At 37.7% G+C, this 17,783-nt stretch overlaps 1 protein-coding gene and 1 long non-coding RNA gene across 2 annotated transcripts in view; one reads left to right on the top strand and one right to left on the bottom strand.

Annotated features, from left to right (window-relative positions):
* The window catches only part of LOC105376176 (uncharacterized), a 33,752-nt gene extending 31,015 nt beyond the window's left edge, over nt 1–2,737 (bottom strand). The window contains exons 1-2 of the long non-coding RNA XR_001746547.2: nt 2,697–2,737; nt 307–381 (exon numbers count right to left, since the gene is read on the bottom strand). This is a non-coding gene — a long non-coding RNA (uncharacterized LOC105376176). The remainder of the gene's footprint in view (nt 1–306; nt 382–2,696) is intronic.
* Nucleotides 1–17,783, top strand: part of ERP44 (endoplasmic reticulum protein 44) — a 119,816-nt gene that overhangs the window by 79,660 nt on the left and 22,373 nt on the right. Inside the window, exons 7-10 of the mRNA NM_015051.3 lie at nt 1,028–1,085; nt 2,903–3,019; nt 11,652–11,763; nt 12,694–12,835. Of these exons, the coding sequence (NP_055866.1) occupies nt 1,028–1,085; nt 2,903–3,019; nt 11,652–11,763; nt 12,694–12,835 (429 nt within the window). The remainder of the gene's footprint in view (nt 1–1,027; nt 1,086–2,902; nt 3,020–11,651; nt 11,764–12,693; nt 12,836–17,783) is intronic.

Here is a 17,783-nt window from a genome sequence, read left to right as displayed (position 1 = left end):
AACTCCTGGCCTCAAGTGATCCTCCCACGTCTGCCTCCAAAAGTGCTGGGATTATAGGCATGAGCCACAGTGCCCAACCCATATTCATTAAATGCTGCAAGCACAGTCCTGCAGCAGAGCCTGAATCTGGAAGTGCTTCTCCCAGATGTCATCTCATCAGAAAGTCCTTGCCTGATAACTTTATTTAAAGTAGCACTACCATTATTTAATTTGTCATTCTTTACTTATTCCACTTATTTTCTTCATAGCATTTTTTTGTAACCACCAAAGATAAATATATCTACTTGTTAGTCTGTCTCTACTCACCAAAATGTAAACTCCATGAGAGAGAGAGTTTTGATAGTTTTGTTCACTCCCGTTTATCCAATGCCAAGACCATAGCTGGTACAAAGGAAGCACATAGTAAATAGTTATTGAATTAATTAATTAATGGAACACATTTTTTTCTGTTCCCACGGTTATCAATCTAGGTTAGCACCCCTTGCCTCTATCTCCTGGACTACTCTAGTTAGAAACTAGAGATAAATCAGTGTTCAATTAATCTAAAAATTGATTACAAAAATAATTTGTTGTAGTACTCTACAAATGTTTATTAAGCAACTTCTGTGTGCCAGATACTGTACTAGGTTCAGGAAACAACAATGGACAAATAAACAAAAAATTACTTATTTATGGAACTATATTTTAGTGATGTGGGTTATTTCGTTTTTGTTTTTTTTTAATTAGTCCATGTGACCAAACCAATGACCTTGATCCCTAGTTGCCGGAAAACAGTCTGGGGTCAAAAACAACCTTTTAGTGCTAAAACTCCCAATCTAAACTTACACAAAACACAAAAACAACTAACTAAAATTTTCCTTTAAAAAGTCTGCCTCATATTAAACGTTTTCTTTAAATGTATACTTTTCTTGGTATTGCATAGTCTTGTAATAGGGAAGATGATGGATAAGTATATATTTCAAGTCTGTAATTCCTACATTGCAAAATTCTGTCATTCAGGTTTATTACTATTTCTCCCTTCCTATAGGGATGTTTCAAAACCGGAAAGATATAGTGGCGACAACATAATCTACAAACCACCAGGGGTAAGTTGCTATTTCTTAATGTTGTATGATAAGATATAATTTAAATACATGCGTAAGATGTAGTTTTATATGTGTTAATGTTCATAGACTAATAGAACTTTAGAATTGAAAGGAAGTTTGAAGCATCATCTTGTGCTGATCTAAACCCTTCAAAATGAAGGTGGGACCACAGAAGCCTAAAGTCACACAGGCATTAGAGTAGCAGAGCTGGCATTAGAGTAGCAGAGCTGGCATTAGAGTAGCAGAGCTGGCATTAGGGATCTCCTGACTCTCAGGCCTTTTCTATCTCTCTGGCATTCAGTCTGGGAGCCAGATTTTTAAAATGCTCCAGTTGTCTGTGATTGTCACTTCTACCCGTATTGTACTAGCCAAACTCCCAAATCTTCTGGGGTATAAATTTACTTGGTACCTGCCAGATAATAAGGAGCAGCTAGGTTGTTTTTAACCTGTGGGGTAAGAAGTTTTAAGTAGCTGCTTAGGCCCTACCAGGTGATGGTAGCCATAACTAAGAGGCAAAAATCGTAGCACATGTTATCCCAAATTCACCAAGCGTCTGCCATTGCAATTTTTTTTACATACCAAAAAAAATTGAAATTTATGGATATTTTTTCAATTTATAGTTTTCATTTTAATGTTGTTTACAGTGTTTTGACACTGAGATTTTTAATTTTTATGCAGTCAGATAAATGAATTTCTTGCTTAGAAAGTTCATATTCTATTTTGAATTCACATAGGTGTTTGCTTATATTTTTTGCAAGTACATTTCTTTGAGTAGCTTACTTAGTATCATCATCTCTAGATTATCAGAATCCAGTACCTATCTCTCAGTGGTAGTGTGGTTGTTCAGAGCATGGGCTCTGGTGGTATCAGACTGGGTTTGAATGTCAAATGTGCCACCTTCTTAGTATGTTACTCTGGGAAAGTTTCTTCGCTTCCCCGCGCTTCAGTTTCTTAATTAGTAAAAACGGGATGATAAAAACAGTACTTGCTTTATTGGGATGTTGGGAAGATTAAATGAATCAACACATATAAAATGTTCACAACCATGCCTAGACCCAGTAAGTTTACTGATTAATATTAGCTATTATTTTTATCATCATTTTAGACACTTCATAGATAATTGATTTTGAGTTAATGTAGAAACAGATATGTAGGTAATAAAAGAAATAGTCGTGCCTTACATCCATATAGCATCTTGTATGTTTCAAGGCTTTTTCACTATCCACATTTTCTTCTAAAAGAAGAAATTTCTAAAATTTTCAGCTCTTAGGAATAGCTAAATTAATTCATTTGGAGAATTCTTTTCACAATGCCTTCCTGCCTTTGGTGAAGATACTGATAAAGAGTTAATTGACCTAAATCCAAGAAAAAGCAATAGGCTTGGGTGTCACAGGTTAGATTATTAGCTCCCTGGTAATCACAGAATTATCTGCTTTTTGCCACCCATGGCCCTCTTTCTTGGAAGTTCCATGATCTATGTTTCTTTTGTATTACCAGTAGATTTTCTGGGTTCATGGATGGATATAAGAATGTACTTTTTAGCCTGGGCAACATAACAAGACCCCATCTCTGCATAAAATAAAATAATTAGCTTGGCGTGGTGGCATGTACCTGTAGTCCCAGCTACTCTGGAGGCTGAGGTAAGAGAATTGCTTGAGCCCAGGAGGTCAAGGCTGCAGTGAGCCATGATCATGTCACTGTACTCCAGCCTGGGTGACAGAGTGAGACCTTGCTTTAAAAAATATAAAGAAAAAAAATAAGAATATACTTTTGCCAGCACAGGTTAGATTTAATTTTTTTTTTCTGTTTTGTAATAGCATTCTGCTCCGGATATGGTGTACTTGGGAGCTATGACAAATTTTGATGTGACTTACAATTGGATTCAAGATAAATGTGTTCCTCTTGTCCGAGAAATAACATTTGAAAATGGAGAGGTATGGGCTTTCTACTGTGCATTGTTACTTTAAATTCAAATGTCTGAAACCACAAGCTTCCTCCACCTGTCTTACTATGTTAACAGAGTTATGAATTGTAAGAATCATATAGTGAACATAACTATATCATAGCTGTTTCTGTAATATACACCAGTGATTCTTCACCTTTGCTATCCCAGAACCCCTCTGTTACATTTCCAGTAATAGTAGTAGTTCACTACAGCCTTCAAAATGAGTTTGAAAATGCCTTTCAGGTGATTCTGATACCCATCTGTTGGTTGAGGATCCCTGTTTAGGTGGATGTCCTTTAGAACAAGGGTCCCCATACCCTGGGCCGCAGACCTGTATCAGTCCACGGCCTGCTAGGAAGAGGGCTGCCCAGCGAGAGAGCATTACGGCCTGAGCTCTGCCTCCTGTCAGATCAGTGGCAGCATTAGATTGTCATACGAATGTGAACCCTGTTGTGAACTGTGCATGTGAGGGATCTAGGGTGCATTCTCCTTATGAGAATCTAACTAATGCCTGATGATCTGAGGTGGAACAGTTTCATCCCGAAATCATATCCCCCACCCTGATCAGTGGAAAAATTGTCTTCCATGAAACCAGTCCCTGGTGCCAAAAAGGTGGGGGACTGCTGCTTTAGGAGCAATGCTTTGCAGATTTTAGTTACAATTATTTCTATACAATGAATAATCCTTTGCCACTAGAAGATTTTTCTGTTTTTTGTAAAGCAGTTAATGTTGTCTTTTCCATTATAAATAATGAAAGCAGGTAGCAGTGATAGGTAACCGACCTCAGTCATCCCATGCATCTGAAATCAAGCCCATCGAAATTCTTACAACTCCCACCAAAATAAAACTTAAAAACCTAAGAGGCTGGAGGAACAAGTACAAAGAGTTATGTCTGTAAGGACCTCTCTCCTTTCTTTACTTTATGTAAGACATATCTTTCATTCCAGGTCTTTTGTTTTTAAAACCAATGGCCTAAGAATGCAAGTTTTTAAAAACTTTGTATTAGGTACAGTTTTTAAAAACTTTGTGTATGCATATACACTTCAAAGAATTGTAAGTGTATAAATCACAGTTTAAATATCTGGTCCCCCAAAATTATCACAGAGTAAACATACCCATATAATCACTACTTAGAGTGGTATGGACCAAATATTTGTGTGTCCTAATATTCATATGTTGAAATCCTAATCCCCAATGTGACAGTATTAGGGAATGAATCCTCCATTCATGAGATGGAGTCCTCATGAATGGGATTAGTGAACTCATAAAAGAGACCTCAGAGAGTTATGTAGCTCTCTTTCTGCCATGTGAGGATACAATGAGAAGTAGGCAGTCTGCAGCCTAGAAGACAGCTCTCACTAGAACTGACCATGCTGGCACCCTGATTTTGGATTTCCAGCCTCCAGAATGATGAGAAATGAATTTCTGTTAATTTGTAAGCCACCCAGTTTATGGTACTTTAATATAGCAGCCCAAACTAAGAGAGAGGGTGGACAATTTTTTTCAACAAAGGGTCAGATAGTAAGTATGTTAGCCTTTGCAGTTCATATAATCTCTGTGGCAGCTACTCAGCTTTGCAGTTGTAGCACAAAAGTAACCTTAGACAATATGTAAACAAATGAGCGTGGCTGTGTTTCAATAAAGCTCTTTCTGGACAAATAATTTTCACATGCTGTGAAATATTAAATTTTTTTCCCAATTATTTAAAAATGTAAAGACCAGGGCCTTGTGCCATGGCTCACGCCTGTAATCCCAGCACTTTGGGAGGCCAAGGTGGGTGGGTCACCTGAGGTCGGGAGTTCGAGACCAGCCTGGCTAACTAACATGGTGAAACCCCCGTCTCTACTAAAAATGCAAAATTAGCCAGGCGTGGTGGCAGGCGCCTGTAATCCCAGCTACTCGGGAGGCTGAGGCAGGAGAATCACTTGAATCCAGGAGGCAGAGGTTGCAGTGAGCCAGGATCCACCACTGCACTCCAGCCTGGGCGACAGAGTGAGACCCCGTCCCTCCAAAAAAGAAAAACAAAAAACAAAAAACAACTAAAGACCAATTTTAGCTTGTGGACCTAACAGAATCAGGCAGCAAGTCAGATTTGACCCATGGCTATAATTTGCCAATCCCTGAGCTAAGTCAAGAAATAAAGTATTTCCAAACCCCTTGTCTTCCTTCTCAGTTATTACCCCCACTTACCATCTTCATAATCACCATACTTATTTTCAATAGGACTATAGGAAGCTTTTCCTGTTTTTGAACCTAAAATGGAATCATGTCTTTTGTGTCTGGCTTCTTTCACTCAACTTTATATTTATGGAGTTCATTCATATTGCATGAAGCTGTAGTTCATTCATTTTCATGCTGAATATAATTCCCTATATAAATATAACACAATATATCCATTCTACTATTGGTGGACATTTAGACTGCTTCCAGATTTTGACTACCGTGAATAATGCTGCTATGAACATTCTTTATCTATGTCTTTGGTGAATATATGCACAGATTTCTACTGGATATATATACCTATGAATAGAATTGCTGAGTCATAGGGCATATATACATTCAATTTTAGTGGATACCAGTTTTTCCAAAGTGGTTTTAGCAGTTTACATTCCTACCAGTAGTATATCAAAGTTCACATTGCTCCACGTCCTTACCCACATTTGATACCAGCTATTTACATTTTTAATCTATTTTGGTGTATGTGTAGTAGAGTCTCATTGTGGTTTTAATTTATATTTCCCTGATGATCAGTGGGATTGAGCACTATCAGTTGCCTTTTCCGGAAAGACAGATGGTCGTAGAAGAAAAGCAGCTTAAAATGCCATGCTTAATGTTCTGGGTTTCCTTCTATTCCAGTCTTGGCCCATAATTCTTTTTTTTTTTTTTTCACTCTTAGATGCTTTCAAAAAGTGTTTTATTATTATTATTATTATTACTCTGGTTTTTCTAATTTTCCCAGTAGTAAGATTAGTCCAGATTACATCCATTATTACTCCAGAATGCAATTTTTAGCACTATAGCTTAACCTAATTGTAATACAACAAAACCTGGAGTTCTTAAGAAAGAGTATAATTTCAGATTTGATGTCTTCTGTTACTAAGGTGTATGTATATTGTTAAGTGCTTTCAGATTTGGAGATAATATATGTGAATTCTCCAAGATTCCCTGAATCTTTCCAGAGGCTTCCAGCTCTTAGATCTTACTATCTCTTTCTCCCTTTCTTGGGGAAGAGAGAGCAACACTTAACTTTTGGGACTGACCATTGTGAGCAAACCAGAATGCTCTTTGCCCCCTCTTTGTCTTGAGAATGCATTCTTGGGGTATTTTTGATCTGCGTCCATTGCCATTTCCAACACTTAGACTGGGATATATAAGGCAAAAAGAAAACCCAAGGAACTGAGTACTATTTCTTGGATCCTTAAGTCCTTAGCCAGTCTGCTTTCTTTTATTTGCTTCTCAGGGCCTTATGTTTGTTTATATAATGTCCAGGATTTTTAGCTGAACTTCCTGGGAGAAATAGAGAAAAGTGTCTACTTCATCTTTCTGGAAGCAGAAGTCTATGCCAACAGCATTTAAAAACTCTTTAAAAGACTTTTTTTTACCTGATTTAAACGTTGCCTTTGCATTTTAGTACATAAAAATAAGTTAGTATTTTTATGTCAGCATGGTACATTTTTGGTATACCTTTTCCACCATAAAATAATATTTAATTCTTATTAAGCTTGTAGCAATTTCAAATCAAATGTATGAATGTTTGTATGAGATTCTCTGGGTGTGTCTGCTTGGACAGATCATTGCAAACCTAAATCATCTTACATTGGCTCTTTGCTGAGTGTTTCATAGAAAGAGGATTAGTGCTGCCAGGATCCAGTTTAACATGTCAGAATACCCCACTGGGACATCCTACTTGTTTATAATAGCTATTTCTCAAATCAAGGTTCTAAAAATGGCTTCTCATGAAATGTGATTAATATATTTTTAAGCCTGCAAGCTTAAATATCATAAACTTATCAGGCTCTATTGCACTAGATATGCAATAGATATTGCAATAGATATGCAAATTCATTGCATATCTTAATGCAATGCCATATTTTAAAATATTTTGGAATTTTGAATTATAGAAGACTTTTGAGTGAAAATTCTAACACAAGCCTTTTCTTGGAAAGTCTCTTTTTTTTGGTTTGAAGAAGTTGCTTTACCAAATTTTCTAGTTTCTTTTGTTCCTGAGATTCTTTGGTTCTACTTCCTTTTCCCCAGTTTTTTAGAATTTCGGGGAGTATTTCTAATTTGAAAATCTGAAATGCTCCAAAATCCAAAATTTTTTGAGCACCTACATGACACTCTTGGAGCATTTCAGAGTTTTAGATTAGGGATGCTGCAGCGGTAAGAATAATGCAAATATTTCAAAATCCAAAACACTTCTGATCCCAAGCATTTTGAATAAGAGATACTCAACCTTTATTTCTATATGACAGCTTGGCATTTTAAGTCCATTCTTAGTGACCAGAGTATTTTTTTATTCAGTAATGTTCTGTTGCTTTTTTCAGTGTTATTTTTGAACCTGCTTCTCAAAGTAGTATTTCCCTGGATTCTGAGTAATTCATATTGTTAAGATGCATCTTGAGTCATTGTAGTTGTTTTATATGTAGTTTTTTGAGATGGTTTGAATAAATATGCTCAGATTGGGTGTCTTTCTATCTTTAATTATGTGTCATTACCCCCCATGACACACTGGATGCTCAGGTACAGGAGTTCAAATGTTTGGACCAAATAGTGGCTTTCAAACCATTTTTCATTGTAAGGCAAAGTAAGACATTTTCACTAGTATATACATAATTCTCATTTTTCATTGAATAATACCCTTCTATGTGCACTGCACTCAATTTTATATTCTCTTCTTTTCTTTTTAATACTGGATATATAGATTGGACATAGCATGCATAATCTTGTCTTGCCTCCATCTCTTTCCTATCATTAATAGCATTTTAAGGTAGATAAGACATTTCACAGAATTCAAAATACTGCTCCTACAATTTGAGTGTTTGGCCACAAGGTGTCAGTGGTGTGTCATAGTTTTATAGTACCAGAAGCCTAGAAGAGATTGGGATTTAAGCTCCCTCTGCTTTTTAATGCACATTCATACTTATGTTTTTTTTTAACTTAGAATTTATTAATAGAATAGTTAAGTACAAGCAATTGTAAAGCAGACCGTTTGAAGTCCTTTATATCAAACTTTAAGGAAGTAAACATTTAAAAAATATTTCTTTATATTTGAATTGTTAGTCTTTTCCATTTTGATCTTAAACTTGGTTTTGAAAGAGAGGGTGGATTAGACTTTTTCTGCTAACAGTTTATAAAAATGAATGTCCTGGCTTTCTTTTTTTTGCTTTTCTCTTTTTTTTTTTTTTTGAGATGGAGTTTCGCTCTTGTCGCTCAGGCTGGAGTGCAATGGTGCGATCTCGGCTCACTGTAACCTCTGCCCCCCAGGTTCAAGGGATTCTCCTGCCTCAGCCTCCTGAGTAGCTGGGATTACAGGCGCCCACCACCACGCCCAACTAATATTTGTAATTTTAGTAGAGACAAGGTTTCACCATGTTGGTCAATCTGGTCTCGAACTCTGACCTCAGGTGATCCACCCGCCTCAGACTCCCAAAGTGCTGGGATTACAGGTGTGAGCCACCGTGCCCAGCCTGTCCCTGGTTTTCTTACTTCTGTAGGCCTCAGGTATGTTTAGTTGGATTACTTACAATTTTTAAAAAAATTTGCATTCACTCATTTAGTCCTCAGAGGCCCAGGAAAATTTAAGAATTTGTCATGACTATTTGCCTGCTGTGGTAGTTCTTGCAGGGGTAGTTTTTAAAACCAGATTTAAAGGTATAGACCTGGAAAATCTTAAACAGTGAAACGGCATCTCCCTTCCCCGTGGTTGTTGGCACATCTAATAATTCTTGAGATTTATTATGTTGTAAGCAACCATTTAACCATTTAACCAACCATTAAATCATGTAATCTGTGGGGAAGGATCTGTTTCCTGTAAATCTGGTTGTCTTGATATTCTTCTCCTTAATCTTTTAACATTTGTTTGGTAAAGAATATGCTTGTATGGACATAGTAAACTTGGAAGCCTAAGCAGCATGAATTACCACCTATTTAGCAACATTTGTTTATTTATTGATATATGTTGATTGTGAGGAAAAGAGAAATGAAATAAGATTGTCTTCAAGGGGTTTTCAGTTTAATATTTCATATGTACAGATAACGTAACACAAAGTCATGCCCCGTGCCACATGAGGGGCACTGATAAAATGCTCTTGGAGTTTAGAAAAAAGAATTTTCCATTGATAAAATGCTCTTGGAGTTTAGAAAAAAGAATTTTCCTTTGACAGGGATGGAGTGGAATGAGAGATGACTTTAGAGAAGCGGCATTACGTCCTGAAAAGAAAAGTGCTAAGAGAGAAGCAGAAGTACTAAAGAAAATGGGAAAACAGGAGAAGGAGGTTAGAGAGGAGGGGACTAGGCATTAGTTTTGAGTATTTAAGGTACTTGTTTAGAATTTGAAATGGAGATATTAAGCAGGCAGATGGAAACCTAGGCTTGGATTTTGTACTGGAGCTGGGCTTGTAGACACAGATAAGCGATCAGTTAGAAGTAGTGATCAAAACTGTTGAACTACATGAACTTGTCAGGCTAGAGCAGAGAAGTCCAAAGACAGTCATTGAGACCAGCATCAGTTAATGGATGGGGGAAGAAAAAATGTGAGTCCAAGAGATAAAAGATGAGGAAGAAAAAAATCAGCTTACTAAAAGATGAATGTGATGCCAGGGGGTGGGGAGAGGGGAGATGGGAATCACTACTAATGGGTATGTGGTTTCTTTTTGAAGTGATAAAAAATATTCTGGGGCTGGGCGCAGTGGCTCATGCCTGTAATCCCAGCACTTTGGGAGGCCGAGGGGGATGGATCATGAGGTCAGGAGATTGAGACCATCCTGGCCAACATGGTGAAACCCCATCTCCACTAAATATACAAAAAAATTAGCTGGGCATGGTGATGTGCACTTGTTGTCCCAGCTACTCAGGAGGCTGAGACAGGAGAATCGTTTGAACACGGGAGGCAGAGGTTCCAGTGAGCCAAGATTGCACTAGTGCACTCCAGCTTGGGCTACAGAGTGAGACTCCGTCTCAAAAAAAAAGCTCTAGAATTAGTGGTGATGTTTGCACAACCTTGTGAATATAATTAAAACCACAAAATTGTACACTTAAAAATGATGGGCTGGGTGTGTTGCCTCATACCTGTAATTCCAGCACTTTGGGAGGCTGAGGCAGGCAGATTGCTTGAGCCCAGGAGTTTGGGACCAACCTGAGCAACATGGCGAAATCCCATCTCTACAAAAAATAACAAAAATGAGCTGGGCATGGTCATGCATGTTTGTAGTCCTCACTATTTGGGAGGCTGAGGTGAGAGGATCACCTGAGCCTGGGGAGGTCGAGGCTGTACTCCAGCCTGGGCGACACAGTGAGACCCTGTCTCCAAAAAAACAATGGTGAAATTTATGGTATGCTAATTGTATCTCAGTTTTTTAAAAAAATAAATGTAACAAGAGGCTTAATAATTGATCTTATATACAAGTGAAATAGGCTTAAATATGGAGATGAGAGCCAGAAGAAAACTTTTAATCCTGTAAAATAGGTCCCAGTTTGTTTTTTAAAAAATAAAGGACATTTGTACTTTCTGGTGAGGTAGTTCCTAGATTTATGGAGAGATCCTCAAAAGGATAGTTGATGAAAATAATTTTGTTATGAGACCCTTTCTGGACTTTTTCTGATGAGTCAGAACTTAGCATTTGTTGGGGAGAATAAATGATTAAATCTGTCTACATATCACATTTTATTTAATCATGTCTACCCATTGTAGTATTCTCCAATTACAACAATAAAAATTTTAATAGCACTTTATAATTTTCAAGGTGCTTTTCTGTGTGTATAAATAAAGAGGTATATAAAAATATATAGGGGTAGGTATTTATTAATAATGTTAATTGTATATTGGTTGAGAATTAGTTAAATAATGGAGGTTTTGTTTTTTACCCTGGATAAAACACTTCAAGCTTTGGGTAAGTTTTATATGTAAGTGTAATGGTTTTTGCAACCTTAGAATATAAAAAAATACAAAAAATTTTGCAAATCAGATTTATTTATTGCTGATATACTGTTTTTCACTGTTACTTGTGAAGACTGAAAATACTAGTCATGTTTACCCCACTCTAAAATTAACACCTTGGTAAAGAACCAGCATAGTTCACCTCTATATGTCATGAATTCAACAGCCTAACCCTGAAGTCTCATATCCCATACTGGCTAACAGACAGTGGGGGCAGATCAGTTTCTGCAGCAAAGCAGGGCATGTGGGTCCTCTGACTGTCTGGGTACTTGAGGTGGGGAGGGGAGTGAATTCAGTCTTCTGTTCAGGCTAATGTTTATTCACACCACTGGGCCTTTTTTTTCCCCCGGGATATTGCAACTATTGCATTACATGGGTTGGGTTCAAAATTGTTCCTACCTAGAAAATAGCTACAACTGAATGGAGAAGCCTGATAATTCTCATTGAATGCTTCTCTCTACAGGAATTGACAGAAGAAGGACTGCCTTTTCTCATACTCTTTCACATGAAAGAAGATACAGAAAGTTTAGAAATATTCCAGAATGAAGTAGCTCGGCAATTAATAAGTGAAAAAGGTAGACAGATTAAGGTGTTTATTTTCATCATTTCTTTCTCTCTTTTCTTTTTTTCCCTTTCATCATCTCCTCTCCCATTTCTGTCAAATCACATAAACATATTTGGGTTAAAAACTTATTTTAACACATTCAAATGTGATGGTAAGGAGGCATTAGTAGAGAGATAATATGAGGTAGTGTTTTTTTGTTTGTTTGTTTTCTAACCATTACTATTTTGGAGAGAAAAATCAAAGTGCATGAAAAGCAGGGTCATGAATGAGCATTAGTTCTGGGCACTTGCCTTCATTGCTTGTGTGACCCCTTTTCCAATGGACATTCCCAGAGATGTTGCTGAGAGAGCTTACACAGTCTGATTAACATTTATTTCTAAATGAAAGAAAGTTGAGTAGTTGTCTGTGGATTTCTCCAAAGCATTTAATGGAATTTGAGGTGTCACCAGCTTTTCCTCTGTAGTTAGGGAAGAAAGTCAAACAAAATAAACTAAAGGTACTCTATAGAGCTGCCCATTTTAGTCACATACTATCTTGCAGGTTGAATTCGACTAAAAATCAACCAGTATGACTGGAATAGGCTGGAATGAAAATGGTCCCATGAGAATGGCTCATATATCAACTTGAACTTCCTGCCTAGAACCTGATAATCTGCAAAGTAAATGATTGCCCATTTAAGGAAAGTAAAAAATTCATTATAGCCTTCAAATTTGCACTAAGTCAATATGATTTCTAAAGAAGTTATACTCTGTGCCCTAAGAACTAAAAGCCTACCTATTTTAAGTGTTAGATATTTAGGTTTTAGTTTTTCTGATCTATATTACTCTTAAGAATGTTGGGTGCTTTTTTTTTAGTATGTCACTTTTTGTGAGCTTGCAATCTTACAAAAATATTTTCAAGAAAATTTGAATTTACCTCTCAAAATTCTTTTTTCTTAAAGGTACAATAAACTTTTTACATGCCGATTGTGACAAATTTAGACATCCTCTTCTGCACATACAGAAAACTCCAGCAGATTGTCCTGTAATCGCTATTGACAGCTTTAGGCATATGTATGTGTTTGGAGACTTCAAAGATGTATTGTGAGTATTCATTTTGTTTTTTAAAAATTACTGATATGTTTTTCAAAAATGAACTGAAAATAGTTGTTTGAATATTTTAAATAATCCTATGTTGGAACAGTAAGACTTTGTTAACTGGATGGGAGAGGTTTGGGTGACTGCTGCTTTTTTTCACTATAGAGTGTGGTATAATTATGAACATTATGATATAGCCTTGTAGAAATACCAACATTAAGTGATTAGAATTGATAATGAATGCTTGGATGATTAGTGATTAATGCTTGGGAATCAATCTCTCAAAGAAAATTTTTGTCTTGTGAGAAATTAGCTCTTCATTGAGTTTGGTCTTTACCAAGCACATTGAGAAAAATAGCTTATAACCTTAGGCCAGGGTAAAGGAAATTGGTAATATTGCTGTTCATTCGTGACTTCACATAGCAAGAACATTAGTAGTATTTATGAATCTTGCTATTACTAGGCGTTTCTAATGGCATATAGCTATGAACTGTTCCAAGAATAGGTAAGCTTTCTGACTCAATTCTCAGATATTTATAGTATTAATATATGTACAAGCCTTGTAGCTACTACAGATACTGAATTTTTATCAGCTTTGTGAGGTGTTAAATACAGTGGTTAAAAATGTAGATGTTTCTTATACGAAAAGTTTAAGCAATACAGGTATTCAAGTTAGACATTTTATTTTGAAAATTCATTTAAATGCCATTTTTATCTCAAAAGATTAAATTACACAGAGGATGATTTGTAGTCCTATGGCAGAATGAATTACCCCACTGAGTTCTAAATATTTCAGTGGAGATGTGGTTGTTTGGTAGAAGATTCCCAATCCTAAAATTACCTAGGAAGCCTAGATTTGAGTCCAGCCTTGGGAAAGTCACTTACCTCCTCTGTTCTTGTTTCTTCGTATATAAAAAATGGTTAATGATACCACCTACCTAATGGGATTGTTATAAAAACTAATGAGAAATAATGATTATGTTATAAACCATAAAGTAGTGAGAAATCTTAGTTGTTCTTACTTTATCTATGCTCAGAAAGATACCATTCAAGCTATCAATTCATTAAATATTTAGCTATCTCTTCTGTATGACAGACATTGTGCTAAGAACCAAGGGTTTTTACTGAGACTGGGTCCCTGCCCTCAAAGAATTCATAACCAAGTAGAGGAAAGGGACAACCAGGTTAACAGGCAATTGTGTTTTACTAAGGGATAAGTGCTCTGACAGAGATCAACAGAGTAGTACCTGATCCAGGATTTCTGGCGATATTGATGCCGAAGGTAGGTATAAAGTTTTGTAGAAGTTTATCCCGAGGTGAGAAGGAGATGGGGCTTAGAGAAAGGTGACCTTGGCAAGAACAAGTTCAAGGGCTGTTGGTGAATATAAATGGAAAGGTGAATGCTGAGGGATGAGGTCAAGAGAACTAACACATGAAAGTCCTTACATGCTGTGTTAAGGAATTTTGACTTTATCCTGAAAACCATGAAGAGCCAATGAAAGGTTTTAATCAGGGAATGACATAATCAGATTGTTTTTTAAAGATTACTCTGGCTGCAATTTGGAAAATAGATTAGAGGGGGTCAAAATAAAATCTAGGAGACTGTTCAGTAATCTAGTCAAGAGTTGATTATGAAAGTTAATCTCAATGGACATCAGCAAGATGACAGAAAAGGACTTTCCATGTTCGTCTCCACACAGAAACATCAAGTTGAACATACATCCATGCAGAAAAATACCTTCACAAGAGCTAAGGAAACCAGGTCAGAGATAGTAGTACCTGAGAGTAGTAAAGAAATGATGCATTGAAGAGGCTAAAAAGGACAGTTTTATGCTACTTGCACCACCCCTCCCCCAACCCCAGGCAGCACAGTATGGAGAGAGATACCCTTCATGTGGGGAAAGGAGAAGGAAGTTAGCACTGAACTTTTCCTCAGACCCAAACACTTGGCTTGTCCTGGTAAAACCCAGTGCCAGAAAGGCTTCTGTGGCCCCAGACTCCAGGCTGGTACCCATGAACTGAGCATTTAGTCCCATCCTGGTGCCAGGCAATATCTCCAAGCCCCAGGCTGGATTCCAAAGCTGCAGGCCCGAGGCCTGCCCAGCAGACTCAGTCTCTGGACCTATTCCAGCACCAGGCCAAACCCAGTGGCTTCAGGCTCCAGACCAGCTGCCCACAGCCCTGATCATGAGGCTAGCACTCACAGACCCAGGGTTCAGGCTTATCCTAGTAGACTCCAGTGATGGACCAGCCTCCATGGACCCAAGTTCTAGGACTACACTTGTGGATCCAGGTTTCAGACTGGCCCCTAAAGCCCCAGGACCCAGGCTAGACTTTGCAGACCTGACCCCCAGGCCAGCACCTGCACACTCAGCCTCCAGGCCAACACAAGTGGACCCAGGCTCTAGCCAGACTCCTAAGCTCTAGGCTTTCAGCCAGCCTCAGTGGCTTCAGATACCAGGCCAGCAACCATGATCCTACACTCCAGACAAGCTGCCATAGATCGTGATTCCACACCTGCCCCAGCACTAGGTCAGCTGCAGGTTCCAAGGACCCAAGATCTAGGTTTGCTCCAGTAGACAGAGAGTCCAAGTTCACCCTAGTAGGCCCTGGTTCTAGGCCAGTCTCCATGGACGGAAGCTCCAGGACTATCTCTGCAGACCCAGGCTCCAGGCCAGCCCCTGTGGACTCTTGACCCAGGCCCACTCCCACAGACTCAGCCTATCCCAGTGGACCCAGGCACCAGGCTCATCCCAGTGCCTGGCTGGCCCCTGCAGACTCAGGCTCAAGGCCTACCCCAGTGCCAGGTCAGCTCTAGTGGACCCAGGCTTCAGACCCACCCTCTTAGATGCAGGCCCATTCCACAGAACCAGACAACAGGTCCACTCCTGTGGACCCAAGTTTCAGGCTTAACTCCATGGACCCAGGCACCAAGCTCACCCACCTGCTGACCCAGGCACCAGGCCAGCCAGTGTGAAGACTCTTAAGAGCAAGCCAACCTATGGACCATAGCAGGCAGCTGGACTAGAATCCCTGAATTGACTGACTAGTGAAGGGCTTTCCCAGACAAAGCCAGTCAAAGACTAGAATAAGTCTCTACATCTTCAAATGCCCAGACATCAATGTAAGGCAACAAGAAATGAAAAACCAAGGAGACATAAACGTAACATCACCAAAAGAGCACAATAATCTCCCAGAAGCTGACCCAAAGAAATGGAGATGTATGAACTGCCTGACAAAGAATTCAGAATAATTGTTTTAAAAAGTAACATCCATGAACTTCAAGAAAATACTGAGAAACAATTCAATGAAATCAGGAAAGCAAGTTACCAAAATGAGAAGTTTACCAGAGAGATTGAAATTATATATTTCTTAAAAATTAAACAAATTCTAGAGCTGAAGAACACAATGAATGAAAAGAAAATGTAATAGCATCACCAACAGAATTGAACAATTAGAAGAAAGAATTTAAACCTGAACATACAGGTTATTTGAAAACATACAGAAGAAAAAAAGAATGAAGAAAGTTTATGGAATTAATGGGACAGCACCAAAAGAGTAAATATTCAAGTTATAGGAGTAAATGAAGGAGAAAGGAGAAATAAAGGGGTAGAAAGCTTATTTAAAATAAAAAAAGCTTTGCAAATCTGAGGAAAGGTATAAGTATCTAGGTACAGGAAAGTCAAAGAACTCCAATCAGATTTAGTCCAAAGACTACGCCAACACATAAACTGTTGAAAATCAGGGACACAGGGAAGATTCTGAAAGCAGCAAGAGAAGATTATGAAAGCAGCAAGAGAAGATTATGAAAGCAGCAAGAGAAGATTCTGAAAGCAGCAAGAGAAGAGCAAATAACATATAAAGGGGAGTTCCAGTACAGCTAGCAGCAGTTTTCTCATCAGAATCCTTATAGACCAGGAGAGAGTGGGATGATATGTTCAAAGTCTTTAAGGAAGAAAACTGCCAACCAGCAATATTATATTAATACCTGGCAAAGCTGTCCTTCAGAAATGAGAGCTAAAGACTTTCCCAGATGAACAAAAGCTGAGGGAGTTCATTACCATCAGACCTGTCTTAAAAAGAATGCTAAAAGGGAGTTCTTCAGGCTGAAAGAAAAGGACAGTAAGTACTAACATGAAAACGTGAAAGTATAAAACTCACTGGTGAAAGTAAGTATACAGTCAAATTCAGAATACTCTAATTCTGTAATGGTGGTATATAAATCACTTATAGCTTTGGTATGAAGGATAAAAGACAGAACTATTAAAATAATAATAGCTACAATAATTTTAGGGATACACAATATAAAAAGATGTAAATTATGACACCAGAAATTTAAAATGTGAGGAGGGTAGAGTAAAAGTGTAGTTTTTTTTTTTATGTGAATAAAGTTTTTATCAGCTTAAAATAGCCTGTTATGAGCATAGGACATAGTGAAGAAATGTACAAAATAAAATAAAAATTTTAAAAACCCTATTATAATTATATTTTACGTAAATCTCATGGTAACCACAAAGCAAAAAACTTTAGTAAATACACGAAAGATAAAAATTAAGGAATAAAGCCTACCACTAGAGAAAATCACCTAATCACAAAGGAAGACAAGAAGAGAGGAAGAAAGCAACAAAGGATCTACAAAACAACCAGTGAACAATTAACAAAATGGCAGTAGTCTTTACCCATCAATAATTAATTTGAATGTAAATGTCTTAAATTCTCCAGTCAAAAGACAGAGACTGGCTGAATGGATAAAAAGCCAATACCCAACTATAAACTGCCTACAAGAGATTCGCTTCACCTATAAGGGACACAGGTAGACTAAAAGTGAAGGGAGGTAAACAGATATTCGGGACATATGGAAACCAAAAGAGGGCAGGGTAGCTATAATTATATAACATTTAAGTCAAAAACTGTAAAGCAAGGTCATTATGTAAATATAAAGAGATCAATTCAG

Source organism: Homo sapiens, chromosome 9 (genome assembly GCF_000001405.40).
Source record: "Homo sapiens chromosome 9, GRCh38.p14 Primary Assembly".
NCBI classification, from domain to species: Eukaryota; Metazoa; Chordata; class Mammalia; order Primates; family Hominidae; genus Homo; species Homo sapiens.
Note: the sequence above shows the minus strand (reverse complement) of the source record. Positions and strands in the feature narration are given on the sequence as shown.